This window comes from Homo sapiens, chromosome 20 (genome assembly GCF_000001405.40).
Source record: "Homo sapiens chromosome 20, GRCh38.p14 Primary Assembly".
NCBI classification, from domain to species: domain Eukaryota; kingdom Metazoa; phylum Chordata; class Mammalia; order Primates; family Hominidae; genus Homo; species Homo sapiens.
This window is the reverse complement of record NC_000020.11, coordinates 9,694,770-9,715,638: the sequence shown is the minus strand read 5'-3', so window position 1 is coordinate 9,715,638 and position 20,869 is coordinate 9,694,770. Positions and strand designations below refer to the sequence as shown.

The window sequence follows — 20,869 nt, the reverse complement described above, 5'->3', positions numbered from 1 at the left end:
TCCAAGTCTTTGCTATTGTGAATAGTGCCGCAATAAACATACGTGTGCATGTGTCTTTATAGCAGCATGATTTATAATCCTTTGGGTATATACCCAGTAATGGGATGGCTGAGTCAAATGGTATTTCTAGTTCTAGATCCCTGAGGAATCACCACACTGACTTCCACAATGGTTGCACTAGTTTACAGTCCCACCAACAGTGTAAAAGTGTTCCTATTTCTCCACATCCTCTCCAGCACCTGTTGTTTCCTGACTTTTTAATGATCGCCATTCTAACTGGTGTGAGAAGGTATCTCATTGTGGTTTCGATTTGCATTTCTCTGATGGCCAGTGATGATGAGCATTTTTTCATGTGTCTGTTGGCTGCATAAATGTCTTCTTTTGAGAAGTGTCTGTTCATATCCTTTGCCCACTTGTTGATGGGGTTGTTTGTTTTTTTCTTGTAAATTTGTTTGAGTTCTTTGTAGATTGTGGATATTAGCCCTTTGTCAAATGAGTAGATTGCAAAATTTTTCTCCGATTCTGTAGGTTGCCTGTTCACTCTGATGGTAGTTTCTTTTGCTGTGCAGAAGATCTTTAGTTTAATTAGACCCCATTTGTCAATTTTGGCTTTTGTTGCCATTGCTTTTGGTGTTTTAGACATGAAGTCCTTGCCCATGCCTATGTCCTGAATGGTATTGCCTAGGTTTTCTTCTAGGGTTTTTATGGTTTTAGGTCTAACATTTAAGTCCTTAATCCATCTTGAATTAATTTTTGTATAAGGTGTAAGGAAGGGATCTAGTTCCAGCTTTCTACATATGCCTAGCCAGTTTTCCCAGCACCATTTATTAAATAGGGACTCCTTTCCCCATTTCTTGTTTTTGTAAGGTTTGTCAAAGATCAGATGGTTGTAGTTGTGTGGTATTATTTCTGAGGGTTCTGTTCTGTTCCATTGGTCTATATCTGTTTTGGTACCAGTACCATGCTGTTTTGGTTACTATAGCCTTGTAGTAGAAGATAATTTTAGCAACAAATTACTTCCTATGAAGTACAAGTAAATCAATGTTAAGGGTAACCATTTTAAAATATTGAGAGGTAAACTTAATTGGAAAATCTTCACAACACCTTTAAAACATAAATTCATATTCTAAGGGGGTCTTAAACATTTTTCAAATGCACTGGAAAATAGCCATGTAAAGTGTGATCTCTCCATTGTACCTCTCACAGAGTAGTTGCATTTTTACAGAAAATACAAGGAACTAAGTATGGACCTTTTGTACCTGCAGATAACTGGTGCATATAATGAAATAAAAGCTGTTATTTCTTATCTCATCCAAGGAGAAAAATGGAAAAATTTTCTAGGAATTTAGGTTGACCTATAATAGACAAGGCGAACTATTAACCTACAATTATTTTCAGGGAAATTTTCTTTGAACTTCTCTGAAAATTGGAGGAGCAATAATTAATATCATGCAGAAGAAAATACCCGGGCTCTGGGATTTCATTTTTTATAGATATGTCATAATTGTACCTATTTTGGGGATACATGTGATGTTTTGATACATGTATACAATGTGAAAATAAAGTCAAGGTAATTGAGATATCCATCACCTCAAACATTTACCTTTTCTTTGTGTTGGGAACATTACAATTCTTCTCTTCTAGTTATTTTGAAATATACAGTAAATTACGGTTAAGTGTAATTTTCCTATGGCACTCCCAAATATTAGAACTTATTCCTTCTATCTAACTATATTTTTGTACTCATTAATCAACTTCTCTTCATTTCTCTTGCTCCCCACTTTCCTTTCCAGTCTCTGGAAACCATTATTCTACCATCTACCTCCGTGAGGTCTACATTTTTTTAGCTCCCATGTGTGAGTGAGAACATTTTCTTTGCCTGGCTTGTTTCACTTAACATAATAACCTTCAATTCCATCCGTATTGCTGCCAGTGACAGAAATTAATTTCTTTTTGTGACTGAATAGTATTTGATTGTATACATATACCACATTTTCTTTATCTATTCTTTCAGTGATGGAAACTTAAGTTGATTCCATATCTTGGCCATTATGAATAGCACTGAAATAAACATGGATGTGGAGATATCTATTCAATACATTGATTTCCTTTCTGTTGATATATACTCAGCAGTGGGATTGCTGGATTGTATGGTAGTTCTATTTTTAGTTTTCTGAGAAACCTCCATGCTGTTTTCCGTAATTGCTGTATTACTTTACATTCCCACCAACAGCATACAAGTATTTCCCTCTCTCTGCATCCTTGCCAGCATTTGTTATTTTTTTTTCTTTTTGATAATAGCCATTCTAACTGGAGTGTGATAATATCTCATTGTGGTTTTGATTTGCATTTCCCTGATGATTAGTGATGTTGAGCATTTTTTCAAACACCTGTTGGACATTTGTATGTCTTCTTTTGAGAAATGTCTATTTGGGTCTTTTGTCCATTTTTAATTGGATTATTATTTGCTATTGAGTTGTTTGAGTTTCTAATATATCCTGGTTATTAACCTCTTGTCAGATGGATGGTTTGCAAATATTTTCTCTCATACTGTAGATTGTCTCTTAACTTTGTCGATTGTTTCCTTTGCTGTTCAGAAGTTTTTTAGCTTGATGTAATCCCATTTGTCTACTTTTGGTTTTTTTGCCTATTCTTTTGAGGTCTTACCCCAAAAATCTTTGCCTAGACCAATGTCTTGTAATGTTTTCTCAATGTTTTCTTCTAGTAGTTTCATAGTTTAGGTTTTACATTTAAGTCTTTAATCAATTTTAAGTTGATTTTTGCATATAGTGAGAGAGAAGGGTTTAATTTCATTCTTCTGTATATGTATATCAGGTTTTCCTAGCATCATTTATTAAACAGACTGTCCTTTCCTCAATGTATGTTCTTGGAGCCTTTGGCAAAATTAGTTGCCTGTAAGTGCGTGGATTTATTTCAGTGACCTTTATTCTGTTCTATTCATCGGCATGCCTGTTTTCATGCTAGTAACATGTTGGTTTGGTTACTATAGCTTTGTAGTATAAACTGAAATCAAGTACTTTAATGCCTCCAGTTTTATTCTTTCTGCTCAGCATTGCTTTAGTTATTCGGAGTCTTTTGTGTTTCTGCATGAATTTTAGGATTCCTTTTTCTATTTCTGCAAAGAATGTTATTAATATTTTGATAAGATTGCTGGAATTTGTCTTTTTAATAGGACAGCAGAGAATATAAGAAATAATATTTGCTTTCATTTCCTGGGTCTTTCATGAAGAATATAAAATCTGTATGTAGTCCTTTTCTACCCTATCTATAATATTTATTATTTAATCATTTAAATGGCAAGGATATGCTGAACTATAAACAAGGTTGGGAATTTGTATAATCCGCATATAACTGTGATTCAGCCAATATGTATATAGTTGATTCTCATTATTTGTGATTTTATATTTACAGATTCACCTTCTCATATCTTTTACATTTTTGTGCTTAATGTTGGTGTTTCCATGGTTTGAAATGGCCCCATAGTGTAGGGCTGACATGCTGTCTCATGTTCCTAAGCACAATAGGCTGTCACGTGCCTTATGGAGAAAACACGTGTGTTAGAAAATCTTTGTGGAGGCATAAGCTACAGTGCTGTTGATTGTGAGTTCCATCTTAATAAATCAACAATATGTATAAACAGTGACACACATAAAACAAAGTTATGTATTGATTATTTGACAAAAATATTGGAGCCACAGAGTTGTGGAAACCTAACCCTCTATTTCTCCTAGTAACAGTGCTTTGGTATTTGCTAATTTAGTGTTTGTGGTGACTTCATAAATCATAACTACTGCAAATATCAAGAATTGACTGTATTGAAAATGTACGATTACCAGGTAGTGGGCTAGGTCCCAGAGATTCAGGAACCAAAGGCACAGTTCCTGGCCCCACAAGGTTCACCATCTATTGGAGAGATGGATTTGTAATAGAATAATTATTCACAGTGGAGAAAATGCTGTGGTACAGAAGCAGCCAAGGTACTAAGAGGAGTCTAATCCTACCTGAGGTGTCCTGGTAATAATATACAGATCCGTAGCTGCATGCCTGAGAAAATGATAGAAACAGTAAAAAAGAATGCACTGCATGTGGGAGAATGTAAAGTAAATGTGGCTATATGTTTATTTTTAAGCACAGCATAATGTTAGTGGGGTTCTGAGTCATTTTGGTACTATATTGTTACAGAAATACACTGTGGTGAAATGCTTCCACCTCTTGCTAAAATGAACACTGAGGAAAAATGAAGAAGACTGACAAGCACCAGCGAAAAGTTGCAGAATAGAAATAGCCACACTCCTCTGGAGTCTTTAATTCATCCACAGCCATCATATAAAGGTAGGGGAATAAATTACCTTATGGTTTTGTCCTTTTAAAATGTATTTTAAATTAAACAATACTAAAAACACAGAAACATGCATGTATTGATTCAACAATATTCTCTGGGTGACTGCTATAGGCCTGCAAACTGTTGTAGGCACTGGAAACTAAAAGGGCAAGCTTATGGCCTTACAGAAGCTGACATTCTAGTGGAAAGTGTAAGTAAATAAATGAAAAGGAAACTGACAACCATTGATAATGTTTATGAACACGATAAGCAGGTTAACGAGATAAGGGATGAGGGACTACTTTAGTTTGAGTGTCAGAGCAGAACACTTAGAGAGTTTGAGCTGAGAACTGAGTGATAGAAAAAAATCCAGCCAAGTAGGGTTTGAAGATCATACCGTCCATGTGTCATGAACCAGGATCCATGTGGATATATTCAAGGTTTGGAAACCAGGCCAGTATCACTTTAAGAGAGGGGCTTTGGAGAAGCAGGATGTAGAAGATGAAGCTGGAGAGCTGTTTAGATGTGGGAAAGTGTCTTCATTTTATTTTAATAAAGATGGAAGTTATTGGAAAGTCATTAGCAGGTGAATGAAAGAATTTATATTTTTTAAAGGCCATTCTTCTTTATTATAGCCAATTAGTATGTGTGGGGGTCGCTACTACCCCCCACACATGGGTACTACCCCCCACGCAGGGTGCTCTTACCCACATAAAAGATACTGCTGACTTGGCTTAGGGATGTGGCATTGGAGATGGATGAATTTGAAAGATATTTTGGCATAGATGACCACCCAAGCTCCTTATGAAGCTCCAAATATAATTCTAATTTCCATATGCAGGGTATGCTGTCTATTTGCGTTTTAATACACAATGGTCAGATTGTAATTTATTCTACTATTTCAAAGAACTGCTTATGATGTAATATGTCTGTGGCCTGCTTCTGAAACTTAGAGGGTGTTGATGTCAAATTGTGAAAATAAAGAAAATTCTGCCCAAAATCTCATATTCTAGGTGGGTTATCTTGTAACACTCGGAGACTTGAGCATTCCAGATGTGTTTGTAGCTCTTCTCCTGCTTCCTGGATGGCTCCTGACTTCTAAGAACATTGTTGCTCAAGCCACTGAGAGGCAGCCTGTGGGAAGGGTGTCCTTCTAGATGAGAAACAAGAGTTTTTTAAGGACTAGTGACTTAGTCAAGCATAACTTCAACACTAAAACTTTTATACTGGGTTATTCATAGATGGAATGTTGAAGGGAAAATTAAAATCCAATTTCAAATTGGTGCTTTAAAAAGATGAGAATATATGGATTCAAGCAATGGTTACCAGAGAAACTTATCCTCTGTGCAGTGAGGGTTTCACATCTTGTATTATGTAACCATTGTGCAATGTCCATAGGGTAGGGAAGAGAGGAAAAGAAATGTATGCAATGACCTTGTAGGTCCAAATTTGCAAGAAGCCAACAGCTACTGTTGGAGGGTGGACAACCCTCAAGTCTGTGCTCAGAAGAGTTTTTCATGATAGCTCAACTGAACGATATTTTAAGATCTCAGCAAAGTGCAGCTTGCTTTCCAATATTCATAACTGTCTGAAATTGTTCTAAACTTGTATGGTGTAGGAATTCTTCCTTCCTCCACCCCAGATCCTTCTGTAAAGCTTTTTGTCGTTAGAAAACAGACCCAGTGCAGCAATTATACAGTGCTGGATAATTAAAAAGTCACATGAGACTCTACAAGTTCACAGGAGGGCCAAGGCTCAAGCTTACTGAGGGGTATTTTGTACCACACAGCTCAGGTAGCTAAAAGCAAGCTTTGTTAAGAAGTAAACAGGTGCAAACCATCAATCAGTACAATTTTGATAAACAGCATGGACAAGCTGGTACAGGATGCTGGTGGGGTTTTAGACTTTTCACAGCACCTTATAAATCACTAGCTAGTACATTTCACCTCTGACATGGCCAAAATCAATACCATGTTTCCAGGTGCCCATCAACATAAGCAAAGAGCTACCAGTGCACAAGTTAACCCTTTCCTCATATACTTAGAGAAATGAGTCAGGATGAAAACAAAGAAGACCTAAAAATGACATACGCCATTCTGTGATTAGTCTTGTCATCCACTGGACTAGATAAAACTCTTTGATTAGCTGGAGAGATCATTAAAAGGCTAGGCCTTTCAAATGGAAGTCAAAGTTCCTTAAGAAATGATGGGATTCTGAAGCAACAAGACTAACATGAACTAGAAAGAGTAATGGTGCCTTAGGTTGATTTCCCCAGAAGCAGAGTGAAACAAAAAAAATGGAGTGGTGTTTATTCAGAGGTGATGCCAGCATACGTTTGTAGGGTAGTGTGGATGTGAGCAGAGGAAGGAAGGAAGACAGAAAAGGTGCCTTATTGTTTCTGTGATCAAGAGGGGTACAATCACATTAGGTAACTTTGGGATACAGCATAGAACATAACTTGGATTTATCCCAATCAAGGGCATGGAAATTAGGGTATTTAGCTATCTTCTCCCATATGTCTCGACTAAGGGCTGCTCCCTTAGGTGGAGGTGTGGAGTGTCGACTCCCTGGTATTTGTAACGTGCCATACATGTAGACCAAGAAAACTCCAGCAGCCAGAGGAAGTCCTCAGGCAGAGTCCCAGATGTTTGCTTTTGAAAGCCACCATCAGGTCAACTTGCACAATGATGATAACTGCCAATGAGATGAGGATAGAGCACCTACAGTTTCTGCTACAAGAAGTGACAACAAAGATGATGGTGATGATCATGATCATATGAATAGAGCTATCATTTATTGAGCAACTAGAAGCCAAGTCCTATATTAAATGCTTTACATGCATTTTATGATTTAATTCTTATATGTTGGATATCCCCTCTGTCAGGTGGGAGATATTTATACATGATTATATATATATAATCACCACAATCTTGCAGAATGTATGTTATTCCGGTCTTTAATTTAGAGATGACCACACAAGACTCATCAAGGTTAACCAAATTATCTGAAGTAACATAGGAAATACAGTTGAGATTCAAACCCGAGTTTGTCTGCCTCCAAAAGGGTCCCTTGGCTTAGGCAACAGTGTAATCCTTAATTAACTAATTAATCATTGACATTTTTCTGACACTCATCTATTAAAAAGTCAGCAGGCACTATTTAGATTCTGAGATACAAAACAAAAATTGCTCCTGTTCCCAAGGAGTTCTATGTTTATGGAAGAGAAAGACCAAAAGACTGTAGTATTGTAAGGGCTAAACTAGAAGTATGTTGTAGCTATTGAACAGGATCAGTAAAAAGAGTATCACTTGTTGCTGTATAACAAATAGCCCCATAACTCAGTGACTTAATATAATAAGCATGTGTTATTGATCAGGAGCCTGTGGGTGAGTTGGGGACTTCTACTGATTTGGACTAAGCTTGGCTGATCTTAGCTAGGTTTGCTCTGTAGTCTGCTGACAGGTTGGCTGGGGCTGAATAGTCTCAGATGCTTCACTCCCATGTCTGGTGCTTGACTGGATGTGGCTAGGGCAACTCACTTCTCCAGCAGGCTAGCCAAGACTTATTTATGGCAACTGAGCCATGTGGATCACTTATTCAAGAGAATAAGTGTAAGGATGCACGGCTGCTTAAGACCTGGCCTCAGAACAATCACTTCTACAACATATACATCAAAGAAATTCACAGAATATCTCAGATTTAAGGGATGTGGAAATAGACTGTACCTCCTGGTTAGAGGAGTTCAAAGTCACATTGCAAAAGACATTGATAAAGGAAAAAGAAGAACTAGATTGCAAACAATCTACCGGGAAGAAAACATCTGAATAAAAGATTACAGAGTAAGTAGGTATTCCCTAGCCAAATAAGATTGGAAGAGAATTTAAAACAAGAAGGGGCTGGGGGCCATGCCTATAATCCCAGCACTTTAAGAGGCTGAGGTAGAAGGATCACTTGGGTCCAGGAGTTTGAGACCAGCCTGGGCAAATAGATGCTATCTCTACAAAAAATAAATTAACTGAGCATGGTGGCACTGCCTGTGATCCCAGCTGCTTTGGAGGCTGAGGTGGGAGGATCACTTGAGCCTGGGAAATAGGCTGTGATCATACCACTGCACTCCAGGCTAGACAACAGAGCAAGACCCTATCTCAAAAGAAAAGAAAAAAGAAAGAAAAGAACAGAAAAGAAAAGACAGCAGGATAGTATGTATTTAAAGACATAGGAATATAGTGTTTCATAATGCTGTCAGGTTACTTGGGAATGGTGAGGGAGAGAGAGGAGGATTAAAGACAAGAAATATGTAAAATGTACCAGAATTCAAGAAAATAAAAGTTAATTTGCAGACAGAATAATATGTTTATGAAAAAGTGACAGACAAATGGGAAGATGAACAAAGTTAGGTCAATGGATGAATGTATGGTTGATTGGACAGTCAGGTGTGGTAATAGGGTTACCAAAATTGTTAAGATTATCTCTTAGAAAAAAATTTGTAGGTTGGGCTTGGTGACTGACACCTGTAATCCCAGCACTTTAGGAGGCTGAAGCAGGTGGATTGCTTGAGCTCAAGAGTTCGAGATCAGCCTGGGCAACATGGCGAAACCCCATCTCTACAAAACAAACAACAACAGCAAAAAAAAAAAAGAAAAAACAAAAATTAGCCAGGAATGGTGGCATGCACCTGTGGTTCCAGCTACTGGGGAGGCTGAGGTGGGAGGATCACTTGAGCCTGGGAGGCAGAGGTTTCAGTGAGCCAGGATTGCACTGCTGCACTCTAGCCTGTGAAACAGAGCAACACACCCTGTCTTAAAAAGAAAAAAAAAAAAAAAAAGAGTTTGTAGAATGTGTATTTATTTCAACAAGAAAGGAAGGAGGAAATACCTTTGTAAGTGATTGAAGAAAACAATGTGGTTGAAAGCAGACCTGAAGGAAATAACTTTTCAGCATGTGACTGTGTTTGTGGCTTCAGGGAGCTATTGTGATGATGCAGATTGCAGGATAGAAACTCTTTCTATGGGACAACTTTTATAAGCGTGCTAAGCATAGTGAGTAGGTTTTTGTGAAAACGAATGAAGAGTTTGACTTATGGTCACAAGCAAATTCCGAGGCTCTAGATTCTCACAAGGCCAAGTCTCTGTGAAGACTGCTGATGTTAGAGATATATTTATATAGAGATTTGTGCATGTGTGTGTTTCCACTGCAGTATGTATGTGAGATGGTAATTTTCAATTCATGGATTTCTCCACTCTGAGACTGAGTTGTGTCAATTGAATAGCAGCTCTATTCTACAGTTTTCCCTAGCCACTTTCATTGTACTCCTGGGTCTGTGTTGCAAGTGTGGAGCTCGCCCAAATCACCAGGTGCAGCAGATTTTACTGTGAAGTTTAACAGGCTAATATTAGCATCTCAAGCTCCTCAGAGGCAGAATGGAAACTTTTGTAGTTCATTTTCACAGCTAAGTAATACTACACTGTGTTAATATATCACAATCTATCTGTTCTTTTATAGATTGATATTTCTGTTGTTTCCATTATCTGCTATTATGAAAAATGGTAGTATGATCATTTTTTATATCTCTCCTGGTGCCTGTGCAAGAGTGTTTCAAGGAAGTATATGTAGAAGTGGATTCCTAGGATATAAGATGTATAGGTAACCAACCATCTCGGTTTGCCTAGAACTGAGGAGTTTTCCAGGATGCAAGATTTTTGGTGCTAAAACCAGGACAGTCTCGATCAAAATGGTATAAGTGGTCACCCTGAATACACATATGATCGATTTTACAACATAATACATATTAACCTCTTTCCCACAGAATTGGTAGCAATTTACACTCCCAACAAGTGGTATATGACTATTCCCTTTGAACACCATTCTCCTCATGCCTGGTGTTCTTGATATCTTAATTTTTGCCAATCAATTGAGTGTGAAATGGAATCTTGCTGTAATTTGATTTTCCCTGGTTACTAATGAGGTTTGGCATCTTTTCATGTTTAGTTTTCCCTTTGTGTGTTCTGTTCTGTGAAATGCCTTCCATATCTTTCATCTTTTTTCCATTTTTTTTTTAATTAGACACATCTCATTTATCTCTTCAGATTTTCTTGATTTTTCCAGTACTTAGGTTAGGGTCTCTCAACAGCAGCAGTGATGGCATTTTGGACTGCATAATTCCCATGGGATACTGTCCTGTGCCTTGCAGCACATTTAGCAGCACGCTTGGCCTTTACCCACTAGGTGCCAATAGCACCCCCAAGTAATGAAAATAAAAAATGCCTCTAGACATAAAACTACCTCTTGCCAAATGTTTCCCCAGGGAACAAGATTGTACCTGGTTGAGAGCGTCTTGCTCCTGTGGGAAAGAGAAGGTAGCAGGGCAGGTAAATTCCATTTCCATTTCTCTCTCTGACGATCTCTCTCTCTCAAGGCCTATACAGCATGTCTCTGTCCAGCATGTTTAGAGGTGTTGCGTGTCACATAGCAGATGCTTTGCTGGACCACTGGCTGTATTTCTTCATGGTAATGCAGTGGTCACAGCAGTAACGTCTCACTTTGTCTTGCTGCTCACCCTTCCCTGCTTCATTTCCTATCTCTTCTCTTTCACACCTTTGGATTTCATATTCCAATTAAAACCTCAGCGCTTAGTGCATGTCTCAGGTTCAGTGTCCTAGGGAAACTGAACTAAAACAAGTAGTTGCAGACAAGATACCCTACAGATAGGATTTTGGAATTTGATTACTGACCTGTCTGAAAGCAATAGGGATCATATATTTAGTGGTAAATTGGGATAAAAATAAACCCTGGCAGGCAGGCAGCAGCATTACAATTACTTAAGCTCTCATCTGCAGTAAATTGGGAAATGGCTTAAGTGGAAGGTCAGGTGTTAGGAGGCCTACTAGCTGCAACACAAAGTGGCTATTAGAGCACTGATAATTATGCAGATTGTGAAGTAGATGGCTACTTTTGACCTGCGGAAAGAAAATGTTAAGCTGAGGATGGTTCATTGCCAACTTAAGGCATGCTCTGAAAGCCAGAGGACATCATCTATGGCTACTTTAAAGGAGACTAATCTCTGGTCACTGCAGGGCAGACTGTGTTGTAACACAGGCCCAGGATCTGACTATAAGGCTGGTAGGGCTGCCAAGGAGACAGGATACACAGCTTTGTAAAATCTTCTGTTTCAAACTCAGGGCCATGTTCGGAATAAGGAGACGTGGGATGAGTTCATTTGGATGGATGAGCTTGAGGACCTTAAACTTCTAAGTTCCCTTAAACCACCCTGGAAGACAGGCGTCATCCTTCTTTTTCTGACAGAGAAGAACAGCTTTCCTTGCCCAACAGTTATGTAGGAATCTCACCTGAAGCAGGTGCCTTATGAGATAATTCTTGCATGTCTTAAGATCTTTCTCTGCCACTGCTCATTGCCTCCATGCTGATAACTAGGGTGTAGACTCAGCAGAGAAGTATCAGCCCTCTCCAGGGGGAAATAGCCTATCCACTGAACAATTGAAGTACCTTGAAACCCACCCGGGAGTGGACCTTGTATTAGAGTGGAGGGGGGGATATATGTTGTGCTGAACTCTTATTGACTTCACTGGGGATGGCACCAAGTTCAAGAGGCAGAAGAAGAGACCCAGAGCCAGAAACAAGACATTGGGTCTCATGAAGGTCTTACATACAGGGGAGAGAGTCCAGTGGTGGTGAGCTAGACCGGAGAACCACAACACTTGCAAAAAGCATACAGTTTATGTAGCATTTTCACTTAGCACCCTCCCCCAATAACTTCCACCTGGCAACCTTTTAACCCAAAACACAGGGCCTCAATCCCCTGCACAGCCCACATTCCACATGACAGGATGGGGCCCAGATGTTCCTCATAGAAAAGGAATAGCTCTCTGGGTTGGCCACTCCTGGATTCCCTAGCTCGGAATTCCCAACTGCATTCAGGTGCACCATACAGGGTCATTCTTAGCATATGCTTAAGTAGTTGTTATCAGGTACATTCACCATACAACATAATGCTAGATCAGAGGGTATTCATTGATATAGAGACACTCACTCATAAGTCAAGATTCAGTTGTTTGTCAAGGACACTTGGAGCTGATCCCGATAGTTTTCTGGGGTGGTTCTTCAAATCCTGTATGTTCTGATGGCCTACAGCAAATGAGGAAATGCCACAAGTTCTTTGACAGTCTCAATAAAGGGTCTGACGGCTCAGAGAGGAGGGATGTTAGAATGCATGTTAAAAAGGTTTTAGGTACAATCTATCACTTGACTATTTCTAACTAAGAAGGCCCAGAGGACACTCCCTTCACAAAGACAATAAGGGATCCTGAAAAGGAGTGCTGACACCTTTGAGAAGGTGGTCTGTAAAGGCTGCCATCTATGGGCTGGGATTGACATTTGAAGAAGCTGTCCAGGAGTTAATCTTCCTAATATTGCTGGGATCATGAGGCCCAGAACAACAGAGGCTAAGTAGCAGTGCTTAGTGTTAGAGGTCAGGTGGCCTTAACTACTATAATGCATAGCAAAATTAAAGTGGCAGTCAGGGTGCCTTGAGCCACAGGGATCTAACAGTGGCTAAGAGATCCTGGAAATCTTTGGGACAAAATAACTGGGCAGCTAATAGATCTGCAGTTTGGATAACAGGGGAGAACAACTGAAGGGTTATAAACCATGGAATATCACGGGCCCTTTATAGGTTTCCACATCTAAGTCAGTTCAGAGATGGCAAAGGAACCATGGCAGTCAGCTCATGTTCATGTTTCATGTTTATTCCGTTTTTAATTTTTTGTACATTTTACACATCGTGATTGCATATCTACCTGCTAATTCTAATACATGATGTACAATCGGTACAGTAAACCAGTTGATTGTTATTTGGTCATCTGGGGCTCTGGGTGACCAAAGCTCCTCAGGTCATGGGTAATATTTGAGTATTGATGCAAGCATGCAGGAATCCTTAGGGCCTCTACTGGGGATGTTTTCCCATGGAGAGTATTGCTTTGTGTTCTCTAGGAGTCAGAAACATTGGCTGTCTTCTGGGATTCCACGCTAGGGACTGACTCTCAGGCTTGGCTGCTCTGCCTCCCATTGCCCAGGGCCTAGGCTTTGTCTTTAGAGCAGTGTTGTTATCATCATATTCCTTTAGAGCTACCCAGTCATTTTCATTAGTTTAATTCCTAAATCATTTCTCTGGTGTCATTTCTCTGTCATTTATTTTTGAGGGCAAAGGTGGAGGGAAGCTCGGATATTTCATTTACTAACTACTGAGCCTAGCAAAACTTATTACTTCTTTTTAAATTTTTTTTGAGACAGGGTCTCTCTGTTGTGCAGGCTGGAGTGCAGTGATACAGTCATGGCTTACAGCAGCTTCAAGCTCCTGGGCTCAAGCAGTCCTCCTATCTCAACCTCCCAAGTAGCTGGGACTACAGGTGCAGGCCACCACACCTGACTAATTTTTTATATTTTTAGTACAGACGAGGTCTTGCTATGTTGCCCTGGCTGCTCTGGAACTCCTGAGCTTAAGTGATCCTCCTGCCTCAGCCTCCCAAAGTGTTGGGATTACAGACATGAGCTACCATACCAGGCCATCAAAATTGACCTTTTTATAAATGTATCCAGGATATATTTGCATTTTAGCATAGGGATCCTTTAAATTACCTAGACTGCATACTACCAAAAATGAAATAACTTTGTCTCTCTACTTGCCTGAAAATGACTTAGAGCAATTAGCAACTGCCCAGTGCACCAATTATAATGGCATTGAGTTTGGTCCAGGAAGTCTTTAATTGAATGAATCAGAGGGGTATTCTTATCTCTTGTGCAGTATCTTTTTCACATGGTTAACAGGTATTGATCAGAAGACTGGGCCTGTGGGCATAGATCCTGAGTGACGTTTCTCTAGTCAGAGGCAAGCTCAGCTGGTCCCCTCTCCACACATTCCTTATTTATGGAACGCTCACATTCAACATGTACTGAGCTGTCCCTCTTATTTAGTCATTTTTTAGAAACATGATAGTAAGTGGTACATTTCAGGAATATTTTCACACGTTTCAAAGTTTGACATGCACAAAGACAAACTTTTAACAGTTCAGAACACTTTCATTTTTGGAACTGCTATCTCTATATATATAGAGAGAAATGTGAATGACTTTGCTTGACTCGTCAAAGGGCGGAGCAGGGTTCTCATGCCTGTGGAGACCACACGGTGTAAGGCAAAGTAGGCAGGGGGTGAGAACTTTTTAAAGAGGGAAACGTAGGCCTGTGTAAATGCAATGGCTCCTACCTATCTCCAATCTATCATTGCTCTATGGGAATGTGGGCCAGATATTCCAGTTTTTTAAAGGAAGCTTGAAAGCTAGAGTTTTCTAATATAAAACCTCCTAATTTTTAAACATTGCTTTATTAAAAAACAAAAATATGCAAACAACAAGTGACCTGATTTTCTGGGGGAACAAAACATGTTTGGGGCGCCCTATGTGCTGAATCTAGCCTGCAGACAAGTTCAAATATGCAGCATGTAGCTTGAGATGGATGAGTTTCAAAATGCAAATCCTATCTGCACTGGCAATTGGATTATTTTGTGTCAAGGAAAATGACTTTTCTGTCTTAAGGTATTTTTGCTTTTGATTGCTTCTTTTATTGCTTGGGATTTTCTTCTCCCTGGTATAACAGCCTAGTGGATACTTTATCATCTAAAGCTACATATAAGCCTATACTATGATCCAGCAATAGCCCCCCTAAGTGTATACCCAAGGAAAACTAGTGCATGATGGATCTATTCAAAGTAACACAAAACTGGAAACAAGCCAGAAGTTCAACAACAGAAGAATGAGAAATCTTGGTTTATTCATTCAGTGGAATGCTGTGCAATAATAAGAACACACTTTTGTTTTGAGATAGAGTCTCACTCTGTCACCCAGGCTGGAGTGCAGTGGCACAGTCACAGCTCACTGCAGCCTCAACCTTCCAGGCTCAAGCAATCCCCTCATCTCTGACTCCCTAGTATCTGGGACCACAGGTGCTTTCCATCACGTCCAGCTAATTCTTTTATTTTTGTAGAGACTAGTTCTCACTATGTTGTCCAGGCTGGTCTCAAACTCCTGGGCTCAAGCTGTCCTCCCACCTCAGCCTCCCAAAGTGCTAGGATTACAGGTGTGAGCCGCTGTGCCTGGCAGAACATGCTGTTGATACACACAACAACATGGATGAATCACAGACATGTTGAGCAAAAGAGGCTGGACTCCCCAAAAATGTATGTATGTGTGATTCTATTTATAAGGAGTTCAAAAACTGGCAAAATTAATCTTTGGTGTTAGAACTCAAAAAACTAGTTTGATATGCTGAGTTAACTGTCTCCTTTTGCAGCTCAGGGGTAACTGCTTAGTAATTTGAAGGAGGTTCTTAAGTATCCCCATTTGCCATAGGCATGAGGGGACCGGGTGCTTGAAGGTCCACCCTTCCAACCCTTCACCAACTGAGACATCTCCATCACAAATGCATGCATGTAGAGAGGAAGGCACTCTGATTCCCCATGTGACACGATATTTCACTTTTTTTTCCAAGTCCTCCAGGTTCCCACTTGTGAAATACAAGTTCCTTATCTATCACAGAGATGTAGAGTTTTTTTTATTCCTACCAAGCTTGAAGGAGTGGCTCTTTGTGGAGCATTACTTATGTATATGTTGATCTCACATCTTCCCCAGAGCATCCTAGTCTCTGCAAATAAAATTAAAAAAAAAAAAAAAAAAAACAAGAAGCAAAATAACCCTTCTCTTTTCCCTCATAAGCTTAATATTTTTTTTTCAAGTTTCAAAAGGAATAGACTGAGGGGAAGAAAATATACACCCAAGGCTATTTCTCTACTACTAGGAACTGGTGTTTCCATACAGATTGTTTCTCATACCTGGGGGATGAGTAAGTGCAGCCTTGAAAGGAAGCAATTGGAAAGTACCTAAAAGAAGCTCCCAGCCTATTTTATTTGGCATCTGCTCTCTAGGGCAGAAAGTGAGACAAGGAGAATCTGCAGTAAAAACCAAAGGAGTAACTGAAGAAGGGGAAACATTCACTGAGCCCTTAAGCTAGAAAGACCTCTAATATTACAATCAGGACTGTGTATTTCAAACAACCTGTAAATAGTGGTGGCTTATTGCAGCTGATAGGACACAAAAGACAGCAAGCAGAGATCTGGTTGTAGTACAGGGGATGCAGAGGAGGGCATTGTGACCGTTCTTTAAGGATTTGTTCCTAATTCAAAGTTTCCTCTATCTCCACATTATTCAAACATCACTACTCAAAATAGAAAACATGGAAATAACTCAGAATCTATAAAGTGCTTCACTTGCTTATTTATAGTGCAGGAAAGATAGGAAAAATTTTAAAAATGGTTATTTTGTTAACTTCCAGTTGTTACATCTCTGTGTTTTAAAATCAAGTTATATCTCATTACAATAAGCTTCATGGGAAATTTGGCATTTTATTCCATGGAATTCTCACTGGTCAAAATCAAAGGTACTTGACCTAGGTAGGAATCAGGTGTCTTAAATCATGCTTAGCTACATCACTTATAGACAGCAGTGCAGTCCTGAGTTCACTTCTTAACCTCTCTGAGCTCCGGGTGAAACAAAGTGAAATCCATGCTTTGTCTGTTCCTTAAGTTTGGTATGAAACAAAGCCAAAGGCATCCTAACAAAGTGTCCAGTGTGAAGTGAATGGGAGGTATGATCATTCTTAGCCCTGTGACTTAGAAAGCAAACCAAATGGCATGTCTGCAAACATTCCTTAGATGAAGTGCTTTTTGATTCTTGTAATTAATGTTTGTTTTTTATTGGGAAATGGATATAAGTATCATTAGTTATGGGAAAGAAGTTAAAGATCATGCATTCATGGGGAGAAAAGGAGCTATACAGTTACAATAGAAAGCACTGGGATTTATACTATCCTCTCTTTCTGGCTGGCCAAAGAGTATAACTCCATGGAGTTGTTTTTCCTTATGTCTAAAAAGAAATACCAGTATCTACCACCCTGAACTACTTAAGAGGAGTGTTGTAAACATCAAAGGAAATCATGTGTGAAAAGGCTTTAAAAGTTCAAATAAAGAAAAAGAGTATATAGTTGAGGGGTTATACCACTTTTCCCTCTTATTCTCAGAAAGGTTTCTAAGCATTATATTGAGGATTCTGATAAGATTAATCAAGCCCTCTCCCACTTGTAATGCTATCTGATTTTTTTCTTCCTTTTACAAATCTAAATAAGTAAAGATAGTATCTAGCAAAAGGCATTGTATGTGTCAAATTCATCATATGGTCAAACAGTACTAACATCATGGGCTAATGTCAATTAGCCCATGTCAACATTTTATTGTATTAAAACATTAGTCAATGTTTTACTAAATCAATGTTGGCCATAACTTGGGAAAATGTGTATTGTCCAAACCAAGACTGGTTTGAGAGTGAAAAGGAGAGCTGTTAATAATTATGTCAGCCTAACAATAGTCAACTAAGACTGTTCTTGGACAAGAAGTATTGTCTAAAAGCTTCCTTTTTAAAATAAGTCATAATTATGCCTAATATGTTCTACAGACTAATAAAGGTATGGGGAAGATTTTTTAATGAGCAAACTAAATGTATTCCATGGTTCTAGCCTTCAAGTAGCCACAAGTCTATATGGTAAGAGAAAGATTATGAAATACAAGGATGCAAAATTAGTAAATGAAAGACATCATGCTAGCTAACAAGTGTTGGATTAAGTGGAGTAGAATCTTGGAGATTTAGACACAACCATAAAGATTCAGACAACCTTGAGTTGTTGGGGAGCTTCTCTGAGAGGGCCAAAGTCTTTAACTGGGTCTAGAAGACTGGTGGGAGCTAGGTAGATACAGGGAATAGCATATTTGGAGATATTTGGGGCAGGTAAAACAACATGGAGAAACACATAAATTGATGAGTTTCCATGGTTGTGTGTAGAGGGGAGAGAGAAGGGCTGTAATGAAATTTCATAAGGATAAAATCTATTGTTTCAACAAATAGTTATTCAGCATCTGTTACATGATGGGCAGTGTTCTGACTTATAGAAATAAAACAGTGAACTAAACATCTTTACCCTTATGGAGTTCGCGTTTTAACAAAAGAGAACTTCCCTTAAAATCTGCACCTTCTCTAAATGAATGTTTAGATGGCAAGAAGTCTTTTGGGGGAAGGAGGAATGCTGCTTGAAAAACAGAAAATGGATGATTCAGGTCATTTTGTGCTAAAATAATAAGGGATTTCCAGCAACTGAGCTAATTTATCTTCCTAAGCCAGAATCTAAGACATGGAGAAAGGTTTATCAAGCATCCATCTATCCATTCATTCATTCAACAAATGTTTATTGAGAACTTACTAGGTGTCTGGCTCTTCTGTGTGCTGGGGATACTGCAATGAGAAGTTTGGAGAAAGTTCCCTGCCTCTGCAGAGATATTCATCTAGTAAAACTGGATCTTCCCAGATTGTATATTCTAATCCACAAAAATGAAAATTAAAAAAATAAAAACTCTTCAAGTACTTCTTTACATATTCACTTTCTACATACAGAGCTAATAAGATGAAAGTGGTTATTTGCTTTTCTCCATAATACAATTTTCTTACTCTGATTATTACTGTGTGGGTCCAAGTCTTTGCTTCTGCAAATGTAATAGATGCCTGTGGCAATTGAGAATCATCAGGAAACAGAAAAAAGAAACTTTCTCCCACACGTCTGTCTCAGAGAGTAGTAGACCATTTGTCGTGCCATGGGCAGTCCTATTTGGAAGATGTGAGATGATAACCTGACTATGAGGTTAAATAACCCCCCAAAATGCTTCTGCTTCAGACAAGACAGTATATTTACAATGTTGTAATATAGAGTAAATGTCACTGTATAAAACAAAAATGTGGATCTGTTATTCCTAGTTTGAAAACTGGGGCACACATGAGAATCACAGAAACACAGATTGCTAGACCCACCCACTAGAGAGCCTGATTCCAAAAGAATTTTCATTTCTCCCAATCCCCAGTGATACCTATGCTGATGGTCCAGAGGTTGCACCTTGAGAACCACTGTGTTCTTCTTTCAATATGTGGCTGTCATATGAATATAAAATGGATTGATCTGTAGATAATGTAAATTGTAATATTTATAAAGGAGGTCATTGTATTCATGTAACTGTCTATGGCTGGGTTACCCAGTATGGTAGCCACTGGCCACATGGAGCTATTGAACTCTTGAAGTGTGGCTAGTGCCATATGTTGAAATAAAAATATTTTGGATATCTTACGTTAAATAAAATATATTATTAAAACTAATTTCACTTGATATTTAATTTTAATGTGGCTACTAGGAAATTTAAAGTTAACATGTATGACTCACATTTCATTTCTACTAGATAACACTGGTCTATGGAGCTTTTCTAAACATGTATATGCTGAGGGTTGGTTTTTATAGAACTTAGAAGTTTTTTTAGAATTTAAAAGTTGAATTTTTTTTTTTAGAATTTGAGAGTTACCAGCAGAGGAAACGAAGGTATTGTGCTTTCTTTGTAAATAGCTTCTCAACAGTATCCTTTTTATTCAGTTGTTTTGAGTAGTAGTTAATGAGATAATATTCACTGGAAGATTCCTTCAATAGATATTTGCCAACCTTCACATCTTAATTAATGTGGCTGTTGGGTCAGTTTCTCCCAAATTTACCTTAGTTCCTTGGAAGTGTTAAGAAATGCTCTCCTTCAGAAGCAAGGGTTATTAAAGGTCACTGCATTTCCCTTTTTAGAATCCATTCAAGCTCCAGTTGCAATACACATAGATCGATTTCAGATAGATCGTAAATCTAAAAGCAGGATAATGTATTTATGAACTTGGTGGGAGCAAAGACTTTTTCAATAGGACATAGAAGGTAATAAATATAATGGAAAAGATATGTAAATTGGACTAAACTAACAAGTATTCATCAAATACATCTTTGAGCACGAAAAGGAAAACCATAAAGTGGAAGAAAACATTTCAGTACGTTTGTTCGACATATCCAGAATTTATAAAGAACTCCATCAAATGAGTAAGAAAAAGGAAGAGAACCTAATGTGAAAATCGGCAAGGGACTTGAACAGATATTTCACAAAAGAGGATATCTACATGGCCAAGGCACATGAAAGAAGCTCAAACTCACTAGGGAAATGCAAAATAAAGCCACAATGAGATGCCACTGCACACCCACCAGAATGACAATCATGAAAGGATTGACAATTGGAAATGTGAATAAGGATGTGGAGCAACTCTTAAGCTATTGGCAGGAGTGTAAATTGAGCACTTTGGAAAGCTGACTGGAACACTCTACTAAAGCCAAATATACTCATATCCTTTGACACAGCAATGCTACTCTTAGGTATGTATATACCCAATAATAATGCATCATACATGTCACCAAAAGACACGTACTTGAACATTCAGGCAGCATTATTTTTAAAAGTCCTGAATTAGAAACAACCCAAGTGTCCATCAACAGTAAAATGAACTTACAAATTATGGT

General features: G+C 38.6%; 1 protein-coding gene across 7 annotated transcripts in view; it reads left to right on the top strand.

The window, feature by feature from the left end:
• Positions 1–20,869, top strand: part of PAK5 (p21 (RAC1) activated kinase 5) — a 301,707-nt gene that overhangs the window by 123,438 nt on the left and 157,400 nt on the right. For all 7 annotated transcript variants that reach the window (NM_177990.4, NM_020341.5, XM_017027960.2 and 4 more), the window contains one exon: positions 4,204–4,353. The gene's annotated coding sequence lies outside the window, so the exon portion shown is untranslated. The remainder of the gene's footprint in view (positions 1–4,203; positions 4,354–20,869) is intronic.